We start from the raw sequence: 16,166 nt of genomic DNA, 5'->3' as shown, positions 1-16,166 counted from the left end.
TTTTAAGGGGTTTAGAAGCTTGACCATCAATACCCACAACAGTTATGGGGGCAAGGGAAACATGCCCTTGGAGAGAAGGTGATGTGGAGTGGGTAGCCCCTATATCAAGTAAGAAGGGGACAGACTTACCTTCCATCATAAGATTTACCTGAAGCTCGGCATCTGTGATGGTCCAGGGGGCCTCCAAGACATTCGGGCAGCGTCAGTCTTCAGCCACCAAACAGAGGAGATCTGGGAAGGAGTCAGTTGGGGAGTTTCAGTTTTGAGCTCTAGGAGCTCCAAGAGTGGCAATAAGAGTCAGACAGTCCAACATCCAGTGACAGCCTGCACAGGTGGGGCATGGCATAGGGGGAATCCTGGGCTGTGGGCATTCCTTGGCCCGGTGGCCAGGTTTTCGACACTTGAAGCAAGGCCCTGGAGGGGCGGTTAGACACTGCAGTTTGGATGCCTTGAAGTTCTTGGAGGTAGGTTTGTCTTACGGTGGAGGCAAGCATCTGTAGTTCTGAAATGTGCTGCCTCCAGGCAGCCTCTTCCCTATAATTGAACACCTTAAGGCAAGGTTGATTAATTCCCATTGTGGGGTTTGAGGGCCAGACTCTAATTTTTGAAGCTTCTTTCTAATGTCAGGAGCTGACTGGGTGATAAAATGCATGTTAAGAATAAGGCAGCTCCCCAGCCCTTCAGGGTCTAATGCTGTATGCCACCTGAGGGTGGCAGCTAGGTGGGCCATAAACTGAGCTGGATTCTCATCTTTATTCTGAGTGGTCTCTTTTAGTTTCTCATAATTGACAGCTTTGTATGCTACCTTTGAAGCCCTTGAACTAGGCAAGAGATCATGTAGTCCTGCCTGGCTATGCCTTGGCCCCCTGCTTGGTAGGTCCACTGGGGGTCTTCCTGGGGTACTGCCCCTAGCACCTTCTTGGAGGCCAGGCTCAAGGTGCCAGCCGTCATGGGCATAAGCTCGAGCTAGGGTCCAAACCTGCTCTCGCTCCTCAGGAGTGAGAGTAGAGATGAGGATGACATTGAAGTCATTCCAAGTAAGATTATAGGACTGGGTTAAGAATTGGAATTCCTGTATGTATTTGGTGGGGTTTGATGAAAAAGAGCCTAGACACTGACTGATTTGGGAAAGGTCGGACAGATAGAAAGGGACGTGAACCCGGACTATTCCTTCAGCTCCGGCCACCTCTCGAAGGGGAAATTGTTGAGTGGGGACAGGGAAGCTGGCTGTGGGACCAAATTGTAAGCCATATCAGGTGTGAGGAGGGGTGGTGATGAGAGGGGCATAAGGATGTGGGTTGTGGGTAGAAGAGGAACTAGGTTCTGGGGGAGAGTTAGGGCTGGGTTCAGGTAGGTTGTGGGGAGAAAGATCGGAGAGGTCAACAGACAAGGAGGAATCAGCACTGCCAGTGTAAGATAGAGGGGTGGACGGAAGGGAGATAAGGAAAATTTGGGATGGATCACATTGGGAGTAGAGGCGAGGGAGGGATAATAGTGTAATAAATCCCCTGGCATAGGGTACCTCAGACCATTTACCCATTTTGTGATAGAAGTTGTCTAAGTCCCACAAGATAGAGAAATCACAAGTGCTGCTTTCTGGCCACTGAAGAGCCGTTGTCTAATTTGTGTTGGGGCCAGACCATGTAACAGAAAAAAATTAGACATTTAGGCTTTAGATCAGGTGAAAGCTGAAGAGTTTTGAGGCTTTTGAGGACACAAGCCAGAGGGGAAGAAGGAGGGATGGGGGGGCGGGAGGTTGCCCATGGTAGACAGGTGAAGTTTTGAGGACAAAGATGGAGACAAGAAAAAGAGCAACCTCTAGGCTCCTCGGGGGGCGGGGGGCGGATGGGGGCTGAAGTTTTGAGGACAAAGAGGGAGACAAGGAAAAGAGCAACCACTAGGCTCCTCAGTGGGCATGCCCAACAGAGGTCTTGGGTTATGTGGCTGGCAAATGGCCAAGGTGGGCATCCCCGGCATTGACCAAACAGCGAGGGGAGACTGTCTTCCCAAGAAGAGTCCGTGACCAACGTTGGATTTCTGAAACAAAGATAAAGAGAGTTTCCTTGTCTCAATCTGGAAAGGAGGGATATAAGAAGGGATGTAAGAAGAAGTGAGAGGCAGCTTATCTGATCCATAGACAGAAGCAGGAGCATTCGTGGGGCTGGTCTGAGGTCCTGCAGTTGAGGGGAGTCTCTACGATGGAAGAATGTGGGTGCGGGGAGGATAGGGGAGAGGACTCCTGGAGGAGTTCCCCTATCCCGGGTTCTTGGCACCAAATGTTATGTGAGCATTTAATTGAAGAGACAACCAGAACAGGCCAAATGTAAGCAACAAGGCGTTTATTCACTTGGGTGTGAACAGGCTGAGTCTGAAAAGGGAGTCAGCAGCAGGTGGTGGGATTGGAGTGGTTTTATAGGTTAGGGTTAGGCAGTGGAAAGTTACAGTTAGGGGCCAGTTTTTGCAGGCAGTGGAAGAATGTCACAAGGTACATTATCACACATTTACAGAGCTGAGTGTCACGAGGTTGATTGATCAGTTAGGGTAGAGCCTGTTACGATGGTAGAATGTCGCAAGTTTGGCTAATCAGCTAAGACAGGAACTAGCTGTTTTTCTTCTGTTGTGGTTTTCCTGTTGTGCCAGACTTTCTGGCTCCAGGAGACCTTCTGGATGTGTACGTGTGGGTCACAGGGGTCATGACGGCTTGACCATGGCGCAGCCTGCTGAGAGGACCTTACACTTTTATCATTATATAATGTCCCTCTTTGTGTTTTTAAACTGCTGTTACTTTAAAGTTTGTTTTATCTGATGTAAGAACAGCTACTCCTGCTTGCTTTTGGTGTCCATTTGTATGGAGTATCATTTTCCACCCTTTACCTTAAGTTTATGTGAGTCCTTATGTGTCAGATGAGTCTCTTGAAGACAGCAGGTAGTTGGTTAGTGAGTTCTTATCCATTCTGCCATTTAGTATATTTTAAATGAAGCATTTAGGCCATTTACATTCAACATTAGCATTTTGAGATGCAATCTACTATTTTATTTATTGTGCTATTTGTTTCCTGCATACATTTTTTTCATTGTGTTATTGTTTTATAGGTCCTGTGACATTTATGCTTATGGGAGATCCTATTTTGGTGTGTTTCAAGGATTTCTTTCAAGATTTAGAGCTCGTTTTAGCAGGTTTTGTAGTGCTGGCCTGGAAGTGGCAAATTCTCTCAGCATTTGGTTGTCTGAAAAAGACCGTATCTTTGCCTAATTTATGAAGCTTAGTTTTGCTGAAGACAAAATTCTTGGCTGACAGTTGTTTTGTTTAAGGAGGCTAAAGATAGGATCCCAATCTTTTTTAGCTTGTAGGGTTTCTGCTGAGAAATCTGCTGTTCATCTGATTGATAGGTTTTCCTTTATAGGTTATCTCATGGTTTTGCCTCACAACTCTTAAGATTCTTTCCTTTGTCTTGACTTTACATAACTTGACGACTATGTGCCTAGGTGATGATCTTTTTGTGATGAATTTCCCAGTTACTCTTTGAGCTTCTGGTATTTGATGGTCTAGATCTTTAGCAAGGCCAGAAAAGTTTTCCTTGATTATTCTCTCAACTATGTTTTCAAAACGTTTAGATTTCTCTTCTTCCTCTGGAACACCAATTATTCTTAGGTTTGGTTGTTTAATATAACCCCAAACTTCTTGGAGGGTTTGTTCTTTTTTTAATTCTTTTTTTTTTTTTTGTATTGGGTTAATTGGAAAGCCTTGTCTTCAAGCTCTAAAGATTTTTTTCTACTTATTCAATTCTATTGTTAGAATTTCTAGAGCATTTTGCATTTCTCTATGTGTGTCCTTGATTTCCAGAAGTTGTGATTGTTTTTTATTTATGCGATCTATTTCACTGGAGATATTTCCACTCATATCCTGTATGTCTTTTATTTCTTTAAGCTGGACTTCACCTTTCTCTGGTGCCTTCTTGATTGACTTTATAGTCAACCTTCTGAATTCTTTTTGTGGCAATTCAGAGATTTGGTCTTGGTTTGTATCCACTGCTGGTGAGCTAGTGTGATATTTTGAGGATGTTAACGAACCGTGCTTCGTCATATTACCAGAATTATTTTTCTTGTTTCTTCTCATTTGAGTATTCTATGTCAGAAGGAAGATCTGGGCATCAAGGGCTGCTGTTCAGAATTTTTTCTTCCATGGGGTCTTCCTTGATGTGGTGCTCTCCCCTTTACCCTAGGGATGGGCTTCCTGAGAGTCAAACTGCAGTGATTTTTCTTCCTCTTCTGGATCTTGCCACCCAGTGTACCTACCAGGCTCTGGCTGGTACTGGGGAGTGTCTGCAAAGGATCCTGTGACTTGATCCATCTTCAGGTCTCTCAGCCTTGGATACCAGCAGCTACTCTGGTGGAGGTAGCAGGGGAGTGCAGTGAACTCTGTGAGGTTCCTTGGTTGTGTTTTTGTTACGTGTACTGGTTTTGTGTTAGTTGGCCTCCAGCCAGGAGGTGGTGCTTTGAAGAGCACATCAGCTCTGGTAGTATAGGAAGGATCAGGGAGTGGACAGGGCCATAGAGCTCCGAAGTGATTATGTCTTTTGACTTCAGCTACCAGGACTGGTAGAGAAAGTCCATCAGGTGGGGGTAGGGTTAGGCATGTCTGAGCCTTGGGTGGGGCCTGCTGCAGCTGCTGTGGGGAATGGGTATGTGGTTCCCAGGGCCAATGGAATTATGTTACCAGGGGTATTGTACCTGTCTCCGCTGCATCACACAAGTCACCAGGGAAGTAGGGGAAAGCTGGAAGCCACAGGCCTCACCCAGTTCCCATGCAGCTCAGAGCCAGAAAGTCCAGTCTCACTCCTACTATGCTTCCCCAACAACACTCGAGTTTATTTCCAGGCAGCTGGTGAGCAGAGCTGAGAATTTGACCAGGCTACAGGCCTCTCAGGTGAGAAAGCACAGAAAGTTCCTCAGTTGTTCCACAGAGCCTGCAGTGGCAAGCCACCTCCTTCAAAGGGTCTGTGGATTCTTTCAGCTTTCTTGGTATATTCCTGCAGTAGTTCTTAAAGCACATGTTCATGATGTGAGTGTCCACAAACTGCTCTGTTCATCCAAGTCGGAGCTGCAAGTTAGTCCTGCCTTCTATCTGCCATTTTTTTCCTCAACTCCCAGATTTTCTACTTTTAACTAACCATCAATTTGTCCATTCAACGTTTGCTTTTAAGTATATAGAGATGTTAAAGAGAGGAAAGTGGCCGAGAGAAAGTGGATAGAATTTTATGGAGTAAGTGGAACTCTTGCTAAGCCTTGAAGAATGTTTATAGATTTATTGGAGGAGATGGTTCCAGCCTCAAGGAAAACAATAAATACTATCAGAGCAGGAGGACCTAGGTGTATTTAGAGGGTAATGAAGCAGTTTAAGTGGTACAAAGCCAGTTTGCCAAGACAACCAGAAAAAAAATCTGGGATTCAAAAGTATATTGTCAGGTAATAAAAGGCCTGGAAGTCATCAGAGGAACTAAAAAATGTTTGAAATTATAATAGAAAATAATTATAGACATCTGAACAAAAGCAAATCTGATAAAAGTAGTGTTTTAAGTCAGCAGGATGTGAAGAAAGGGAGCACCCTGCATTAAAGATGGTGAAGGAGATTTTAACATTGGAAAGAGCTAACATTTTGGAGTCACGTGTGATTGTGTTATCCATTTTACATTCATTTGCTAAGTTTAGGAATCACAGGCAACAGAATCAAACCCACAATTAAGTGACTTAAAAAGCCCATTTTTTTCTACCTAATCGCTTTGCCAGGTGATATGGTTTGGCTATGTCCCCACCCAAATCTCATCTTAAATTCCCACATGTTGTGGGAGGGATCTGGTGGGAGGTAATTGAATCATGGTAGTTCTTTCCCATGCTGTTCTCATGATAGTGAATAAGCCTCATGGTCTGATGGCTTGCTTTATCAGGGGTAGTTCCCCTGCACAAGCTCTTTTCTCTAGTCTGCCACCATGTGAAACATACCTTTCACCTTCTGCCATGATTGTGAGGCCACCTCAGCCATGTGGAACTGTGAGTCCATTAAATCTCTTTCTTTTGTTAGTTGCCTAGTTTTGGGTATGTCTCTATCAGCAGTGTATAAATGGACTAATATAGTAAATTGGTACCAGCACAGTGGGACACTGCTGAAAAGATACCCAAAAATGTGGAAGCAACTTTGGAACTGGGTAACAGGTAGAGTTTGGAGGTCTCAGAAGAAGGCAGAAAAATGTGGGAAAGTTTGGAACTTCCTAGAGATTTGTTGAATGGCTTTGACCAAAATGCTGATAGCAATGTGGACAATAAAGTCCAGGCTGAGGTGGTCTCAGATGGAGATGAGGAGCTTGTTGGGAATTGGAGAAAAGGTGACTCTTGTTATGTTTCAGCAGAGAATGGTGGCATTTTGCCCCTGCCCTAGAGATTTATGGAACTTTGAACTTGAGAGAGATGATTTAGGGTATCTGGTGGAAGAAATTTCTAAGCAGCAAAGAGTTCAAGGGGTGACATGAGTGCTGTTAAAGGCATTCAGTTTTATAAGGGGAGCAGAGCATAAAAGTTTGGAAAATTTGCAGCCTGACAATGTGATAGAAAAGAAAATCCCATTTTCTAAGGAGAAATCTAAGCTGGTTGCAGAAATTTGCATACCTAAGAAGGAGCCTAATGTTAATTCTTAAGACATTGGGGAAAATGTCTTCAGGGCATGTCAGAGGACTTCATGGCAGCCCCTCCTATCACAGGCCCTGAGGCCTAGGAGGAAACAGTGGTTTTGTGGTCCAGTCCCTGGGTTCCCCTGCTGTATGCAGCCTAGGGTTTTGGTGCCCTGTGTCCCAGCTGCTACAGCCGTGGCTGAAAGGGGCCAATGTAGAACTCAGGCCATGGCTTCACAGGGTGAAAGCCCCAAGCCTTGAGAGTTTCCACATGGTTTTGAGCCTGCAAGTGCACAGAAGTCAAAAATTGTGGTTTGGGAACCTCCACCCAGATTTTAGAGGTTGTATGGAAATGCATGGATGTCCAAGAAAAAGTTTGCTTCAGGGGCAAGGCCCTCATGGAGAACCCCTGCTAGGGATATGCAGAGGGAAAATGTGGGACTGGAGCTCCCACAGAGTCCCCATTGGGGAACTGCCTTGTGGAGCTGTAAGAAGAGGGCCACCATTCTCTAGACCTCAGAATGGTAGATCCACGACAGCTTGCACTATGTGCCTGAAAAAGCCATGGACACTCAACAGCAGCCCATTAAAGCATTCGGGTGGGAGTCTGTACCCTGCAAAGCCACAGGGGCAGAGCTACCCAAGACAATAGGAACGCACCTCTTGCATCAGAATGACCTGGATGTGAGACATGGATTCAAAGGAGATCATTTTGGAGCTTTAAGATTTGACTGCCCCTCTAAATTTTGGACTTGCATGGGACTCATAGTCCCTTTGTTTTGGCCAATTGCTCCCAGTAGGAATGGGTATATTTACCCAATGCCTGTACCTCCATTTTATCTAGGAAATAATTAACTTGTTTTTGATTGTATGGGCTTATAGGTGAAAGGGACTTGCCTTGTCTTCAGATGAGACTTTAGACTGTGGACTTTTGAGTTAATGATGAAATGAGTTAAGACTTTGGGGAACTGTTGGGAGGGCATGATTGGTTTTGAAATGTGAGGACATGTGATTTGGGAGGGGCTAGGTGCAGAGTGATATGGTTTGGCTGTGTCCCCACCCAAATCTCATTTTGAATTCCCACATGTTGTGGGAGGGACCCAGTGGGAGGTAACTGAATCATGGGAGCAGGTCTTTTCTGTGCTTTTCTCATAACAGTGAATAAGTCTCATGAGATCTGACGGTTTCAGAAAGGGGAGTTCCCCCACACAAGCTCTCTCCTCTTGTCTGCTGCCTTGTGAAATGTGCCTTTCACCTTCCTTCATGATTGTGAGGCCTCCCCAGCCACGTGGAGCTGTGAGTCCATTAAATTTCTTTCTTTTGTAAATTGCCCAGTCTCAGATGTGTCTTTATTAGCAGCATGAAAATGGACTAATATACCAGGTTTGGCTCTGAATGTCAGTGATTCCCTCTACAAGTCTGGATGTTCTCCTGCCCTTTGTATCAGTAAACATAGTTGTGACTTAGTCTCTCTCTTCCTATCCCTATATAGTTCCTCACTTTTGCAATCTTCAAAAGTGTCTTAGAGAATGTATTTGTCTAAACTCTGTTTTGAGTTGTGATCTGGTTGGCTTTTGAAATAGCCCAGAAGAATTCCTAGGAATCCTGGGCTAAACTAGTTATAATTAGGGTCAAGTAAAGGGTGAGTTCTATAGACATTTCAGAGGCATGTCCAAGAAGACTTGCAGAGAGATGGGACTTTAAAGCAAAAATGAATGCATAAAATGAAGTAAGAGATGTCTGAAAAGACTGACTGGACGTTTGAGGTTCCGTTGGCAGAAGAACTAGTACATTTAGGAAAGATTCTAAGGAAGAAAAAGGGTAGTTTATTCGGGGAACTCTTGTGACAGAGAAGGAAACCATCTAAATAGAGACATTTCCTATGTAATATAGCCATGGATTTATTGATTCGGTGACAACTGTCAAAATCTCAATTACATGATGACTTTAAGATTATTATGATTTTTATTTTTTATTATACATTAAGTTCTAATGCACATGTGCACAACGTGCAGGTTTGATGCATAGGTATACATGTGCCATTTGGTTTGCTGCACACATCAATTCATCATTTACATTAGGTATATCTCCTAATGCTATCCCTCCCCCAGCCCCCCACCCCCTGACAGGCCCTGATGTGTGATGTTCCCCTTCCTGTGTCCAAGTGATCTCATTGTTCAATTTCCACCTATGAGTGAGAACATGCGGTGTTTGGTTTTCTGTCCTTGTGATAGTTTGCTGAGAATGATGGTTTCCAGCTTCATCCATGTCCCTGCAAAAGACATGAACTCATACTTTTTATGGCTGCATAGTATTCCATGGTGTATATGTGCCACATTTTCTTAATCCAGTCTATCATCGATGGACTTCTGGGTTGGTTCAACTCTTTGCTATTGTGGATAGTGCTGCAATAAAACATATGTGTGCACTTGTCTTTATAGTAGCATGATTTATAATCCTTTGAGTATATACTCAGTAATGGGATTACTGGGTCAAATTGTATTTCTAGTTCTAGATCCTTGAGGAATTGCCACATTGTCTTCCACAATGGTTGAACTAATTTACATTCCCACCAACATTGTAAAAGCGTTCCTATTTCTCCATATCCTCTCTAGCATCTGTGGTTTCCTGACTTTTTAATGATTGCCATTCTAACTGGTGTGAGATGGTATCTCATTGTGGTTTTGATTTGCATTTCTCTGATGAACAGTGATGACGAGCATTTTTTCATGTGTCTGTTGGCTGCATAGATGTCTTCTTTTGAGAAGTGTCTGTTCATATCCTTTGCCCACTTTTTGATGGGGTTGTTTGTTTTTTTCTTGTAAATTTGTTTGAGTTCTTTGTAGATTCTGGATATTAGCCCTTTGTCAAATGGGTAGATTGCAAAAATTTTCTCCCATTCTGTAGGTTGCCTGTTCACTCTGATGGTAGTTTCTTTTGCCATGCAGTAGCTCTTTAGTTTAATTAGATCCCATTTGTCAATTTTGGCCTTTGTTGCCATTACTTTTGGTGTTTTAGTCATGAAGTCCTTGCCCATGCCTATGTCCTGAATGGTATTGCCTAGGTTTTCTTCTAGGGTTTTTATGGTTTTAGGTCTAACATGTAAGTCTTTAATCCATCTTGAATTAATTTTTGTATAAGGTGTAAGGAACAGATCCAGTTTCAGCTTTCTACATATGACTAGCTAGTTTTCCCAGCACCATTTATTAAATAGGGAATTCTTTCCCCATTTCTTGTTTTTGTCAAGTTTGTCAAAGATCAGATGGTTGTAGATGTGTGGTGTTATTTCTGAGGCGTCTGTTCTGTTCCTTTGGTCTATATCTCTGTTTTGGTACCAGTACCATGCTGTTTTGGTTACTGTAGCCTTATAGTATAGTTTGAAGTCAGGTAACGTGATGCCTCCAGCTTTGTTCTTTTTGCTTAGGATTCTCTTGGCAGTGTGGGCTCTTTTTGATTCCATATGAACTTTAAAGTAGTTTTTTTTTTCTAATTCTGTGAAGAAAGTCATTGGTAGCTTGATGGGGATGGCACTGAATCTATAAATTATCTTGGGCAGTATGGGCATTTTCACGATATTGATTTTTCCTATCCATGACCATGGAATATTCTTCCATTTGTTTTTGTCCTCTTTTATTTCAGTGGGCAGTGGATTGTAGTTTGCCTTAAAGAGGTCCTTCACATCCCTTGTAAGTTGGATTCCTAGGTATTTTATTCTCTTTATAGCAATTGTGAATGGGAGTTCACTCATGATTTGGCTCTCTGTTTGTCTGCTAGTGATGTCTAGAAATGCTTGTGATTTTTGCACATTGATTTTGTATCCTGAGACTGCTGAAGTTGCTTATCAGCTTAAGGAGATTTTGGGCTGAGACAATGGGGTTTTCTAAATATACAATCATGTCATCTGCAAACAGGGACAATTTGACTTCCTCATTTTCTAATTGAATACCCTTTATTTCTTTCTCTTGCCTGATTGCCCTAGCCAGAACTTCCAACACTATGTTGAATAGGAGTGGTGAGAGAGGGCATCCTTGTCTTGTGCTGGTTTTCACAGGGAATGCTTACAGTTTTTGTGCATTAGTTTTTGCCCATTCAGTATGATATTGGCTGTGGGTTTGTCATAAATAGCTCTTATTATTTTGAGATACGTTACATCAATACCTACTTTATTGAGAGTTTTTAGCATGAAGAGCACTTTGTCAAAGGCTTTTATGCATCTATTGAGATAATCATGTGATTTTTGTTGTTGGTTCTGTTTGTGTGATGGATTACATTTATTGATTTCCATATATTGAACCAGCCTTGCATTCCAGGGATGAAGCCCACTTGATGGTGGTGGATAAGCTTTTTGATGTGCTGCTGGATTTGGTTTGCTAGTATTTTATTGAGGATTTTTGCATAGAAGTTCATCAGGGATATTGGTCTAAAATTCTCTTTTTTTTGTTGTTGTGTCTCTGCCAGTCTTTGGTATCAGGATGATGCTGGCCTCATAAAATGAGTTAGGGAGGATTTCCTCTTTTTCTATTGATTGGAATAGTTTCAGAAGGAATGGTACCAGCTCCTCTTTGTACCCCTGGTAGAATTCGGCTGTGAATCCATCTGGTCCTAGACTTTTTTTGGTTGGTAGGCTATTAATTATTGCCTCAATTTCAGAGCCTGTTATTGGTCTATTCATGGATTCAACTTCTTCCTGGTTTAGTCTTGGGAGGGTGCATGTGTCCAGGAATTTATCCATTTCTTCTAGATTTTCTAATTCCTTTGCATAGACGTGTTTATAGTATTCTCTGATGGTAGTTTGTATTTCTGTGGGATTGGTGGTGATATCCCCTTTATCATTTTTTATTATATCTATTTGATTCTTCTCTTTTTTCTTCTTTATTATTCTTGCTAGTGGTCTATCAATTTTGTTGATCTTTTCAAATACCAGCTCCTGGATTCATTGATTTTTTTGAAGATTTTTTGTTTCTCTCTCTCTTTCATTTCTACTCTGATCTTAGTTATTTCTTGCCTTCTGCTTGCTTTTGAATGTGTTTGCTCTTGCTTCTCTAGTTCTTTTAATTGTGATGTTAGGTTGTCAGTTTTAGATCTTTCCTGTTTTCTCTTGTGGGCATTTAGTGCTATAAATTTCCCTCTACACACTGCTTTATATTGTCCCAGAGATTCTGGTACATTGTGTCTTTGTTATCATTGGTTTTAAAGAACATCTTTATGTCTGCCTTCATTTCGTTATTTACCCAGTATTCATTCAGGAGCAAGTTGTTCAGTTTCCATGTAGTTGTGTGGTTTTGAGTATTTTCTTAATCTTGAGTTCTAATTTGACTGTATTGTGGTCTGAAAGATAGTTTGTTGTGATTTCTGTTCTTTTACATTTGTTGAGGAGTGCTTTACTTCCAATTATGTGGTCAATTTTAGAATAAGTGTGATGCATTGCTGACAATAATGTATATTCTGTTGATTTGGGGTGGAGAGTTCTGTAGATGTCTTTTAGGTCTGCTTGTTGCAGATCTGAGTTCAAGTCCTGGATATCCTCGTTAACCTCTGTCTCATTGTTTTGTCTAATATTGACAGTTGGGTGCTAAATTATCCCATTATTATTGTGTGGGAGTCTAAGTCTCTTTGCAGGTCTCTAAGGACTTGCTTTATGAATATTGGTGCTCCTGTATTGGGTGCATATACATTTAACATAGTTAGCTCTTCTTGTTGAATTGATCCCTTTACCATTATGTAATGGCCTTCTTTGTCTCTTTTGATCTTTGTTGGTTTAAAGTCTGTTTTATCAGAGAGTAGGATTGCAACCCCTGCTTTTTTTTTTTTTTTTTTATTTCCATTTGCTTGGTAGATCTTCCTCCATCCCTTTATTTTGGGCCTATGTGCATCTTTGCACATGAGATGGGTCTCCTGAATATAGCACACTGATGGGTCTTGACTCTTTATCCAATTTGCCAGTCTGTGTCTTTTAATTGAAGCCTTTAGCCCATTTACATTTAAGGTTAATATTGTTACATGTGAATTTGATCCTTTCATTAAGAGGTTTGCTGATTATTTTGCCCGTTAATTGATGCGGTTTCTTCATAACATCCATGGTCTTTACAATTTGACATGTTTTTGCAGTGGCTGGTACCGCTTGTTTCTTTCCATGTTTAGTGCTTCCTTCAGGAGCTCTTGTAAGGCAGGCCTTGTGGTGACAAAATCTCTCAGCATTTGCTTGTCTGTAAAGGATTTTATTGCTCCTTCACTTATGAAGCTTAGTTTGGCTGGATATGAAATTCTGGATTGCAAATTCTTTTCTTTAAGAATGCTGAATATAGATCCCCACTCTCTTCTAGCTTTTAGGGTTTCTGCCAAGAGATCCGTTGTTAGTCTCATGGGCTTCTCTTTGTGGGTAACTCGACCTTTCTCTCTGGCTGCCCTTTACACTTTTTCGTTCATTTCAACCTTGGTGAATCTTACAATTGTGTGTCTTGGGGTTGCTCTTCTCGAGGAGTATCTTTGTGGTGGTGTCTGTATTTCCTGAATTTGAATGTTGGCCTGCCTTGCTAGGTTGGGGAAGTTCTCCTGGATAATAGCCTCAAGAGTGTTTTTCATCTTGGTTCCATTCTCCCCATCACTTTCAGGCACACCAATCAATTGTAGATTTGGTTGTTTCACATAGTCCCATATTTCTTGGAGGCTTTGTTAGTTTCTTTTTACCGTTTTTCTCTAACCTTGTTTTCTCGCTTTATTTCATTAATTTGGTCTTAAATCACTGATGCCCTTTCTTCCACTTGATCTCATTGTCTATTGAAAGTTGTGCATGCGTCACAAAGTTCTCATGCTATGGTTTTCAGCTCCATCAGGTCATTTAAGCACTTCTCTACACTGTTTATTCTGGTTAGCCATTCATCTAATCTTTTTTCAAGGTTTTAACTTCTCAATGGGTTTGAACATCCTCCTTTAGCTCAAAGAAGTTTCTTATTATTGACCTTCTGAAGCCTACTTCTGTCAACTTGTCAAATTCATTGTCCACCCAGCTTTGTTCCATTGCTGGTGAGGAGCTGCGATCCTTTGGAGAAGAGGTGCTCTGATTTTTAGAATTTTCACCTTTTCTGCTCTGGTTTCTCCCCATCTTTGTCATTTTATCTACCTTTGTTCTTTGATGTTGGTTACCTACAGGTGGGGTTTTGGTGTACATGATCTTTTTTTGATGTTGATGCTATTCCTTTCTGTTTGTTAGTTTTCCTTCTATCAGTCAGGTCTCTCAGCTGCAGGTCTGTTGGAGTTTCCTGGAGGTCCACTCCAGACTATTTGCCTGGGTATCACCAGTGGAGGCTGCAGAACAGCAAATATTGCAGAACAGCAAATATTGCTGCCTAATCCTTCCTCTGGAAGCTTCGTCCCAGAGGGGCAGCCACCTATATGAGATGTCTGTCAGGCCCTACTGGGAGGTGTCTCCCAGTTAGGCTACACAGGGGCCAGGGACCCACTTGAGGAGTCAGTCTCTCTGTTCTCAGAACTCAAACGCCATGCTGGGATAACCACTGCTCTTTTCAGAGCTGTCAGACAGTGACATTTAAGTCTTCAGAAGTTGTCTGCTGCCTTTTGTTCAGCTATGCCCTGCCCACAGAGGTGGAGTCTAGAGGCAGTGGGCCTTCTTGAGCTGCAGTGGGCTCTGCCTAGTTCGAGCTTCCCAGCCACTTCATTTACCTACTCAAGCTTCAGCAATGGCAGATGCCTCTCCCCCAGTCAGGCTGCTGCCTTGTGGTTCAATCTCAGGTTGCTCCACTAGCAGTGAGCAAGGCTTCATAGGCATGGGACCTGCTGATTCAGGCATGGGAGGGAATCTCCTTGTCTGCCAGTTGCTAAGACCTTGGGAAAAGCACATTATTTGGGTGGAAGTGTCCCGTTTTTCCAGGTAGTCTGTCATGGCTTCCCTTGGCTAGGAAAGGGAAATCCCCAGATCCCTTGTGCTTCCGGTGAGGCAATGCCCTGCCCTGCTTCAGCTTGCCATGCCCCGCCTCAGCTTGCCATGCCCCGCCCTGCTTCAGCTTGCCCTGCATGGACTGCCCCCACTGTCCAACCATTGCCAATGAGATAAAGCAGGTACCTTAGTTGGTTGCAGAAATCACTCATCTTCTGCGTCCTTCACGCTAGGAGCTGCAGACCAGAGCTGTTCCTATTCAGCCATCTTGGAATGCCCCCCAAGATTATTATGATTTCTAAGTGGCAGATGATAATGTGGAAAATTCTGAAGGGGAAAATCATCTAGAGAATCAGTCTAGGAAAAAGAAAAAGTAATCAGAGAAGGAAAGAGAAAAGGAGTGATCATAGATGTAAAGAGGGGTTTCAAGGATAGCGTTTATTGATTTACTTGGTAATAGGTAGATGGATATAAACTTTTTAAAAAATACAGAAATAAACATATTGTGGATCAAAGACATTTGTGGTGTCCTTATTGACATTTACATTTTTTTTGAATACTTGGCAGATTGGTCATGAAAGCTTCCATTTGTTTAAATCCTTACCAAGGAGAAAATAGTAACAGTTCATGTTAATGTATTCTTACCAATTTATAAAGACTTGAATTTATTTTATACTGTTAGTGTGCATAAGAACTCTGTCATATAAGTGTTATGGTCAACATTGTAGAAATGAGGAAAATGAAATATGAAATGAGATTTAAAAATGTACATGTGGGGGTAAATATTTTCCGATGCTCAAATCCAATCTTAAAATCAGAAGAAGGACAGAATGTAGTATATAAGGGCATGACACAAGCCAGTAATATTTTCAAAACTTACTAACAAAACTAGAAGTTACTTGCTTTAGTGGCTCTATTGAATCATCCTCCAGATATTTCTATTTGCAAAGTAACTCATTTGCAAACATCTTTGAAATAGAATAAGCCAATCTTCCATTTTCAAACAGCTCCATAAAGATATGCCTATGTCCTTGTTTAGTTGTTGTGGCTAAGACTCCTTGGATAATTTCACGATTTTATTGCCTAGCCTATTGCTTTCATTCAGTATTTTAACAGCCTCCAGATATCTGTATGAAGTATATCTCTAAAAGGTAAACTGTCATCTTTCTTATTTTTTGATTTTTGCTCTTCTTTGAACAAAAGGCTTATTTTATGGTCTAATCAATTAGAAATCTTTGAGTATGAAACTTATCTCACTGACATGCACATAAAAGATATTATGGAAATATTCACTGATTCTATTACAGCTGCTTAGAGAACAGAAATTAAATTAGAACTGTAATGAATATTTTTGTAAGCATGTGCTAACCATAGTTTTCATTAGTTTAAATTGTGAATTGATTTTGACCTGTTACAGAATTATGGTTTTCATCTTACAGGTTTATGTTATTTCTGCCTTTTTTTTTTTTTTACTTTCTCAGAGGTAATTTTTGTGCATTCAAAACATTCATTTTTGTTCTCTTTGTTCATATGTGTATGTGTGTGTGTTTTTGTAGTTTTCATTCAAGGAATTATGAAAAATCGAAAAGAAAGTGCAACTCTGAATTATA

This window comes from Homo sapiens, chromosome 9, assembly GCF_000001405.40.
Source record: "Homo sapiens chromosome 9, GRCh38.p14 Primary Assembly".
Classification (NCBI taxonomy): domain Eukaryota; kingdom Metazoa; phylum Chordata; class Mammalia; order Primates; family Hominidae; genus Homo; species Homo sapiens.
This window is presented reverse-complemented; position numbering follows the sequence as displayed.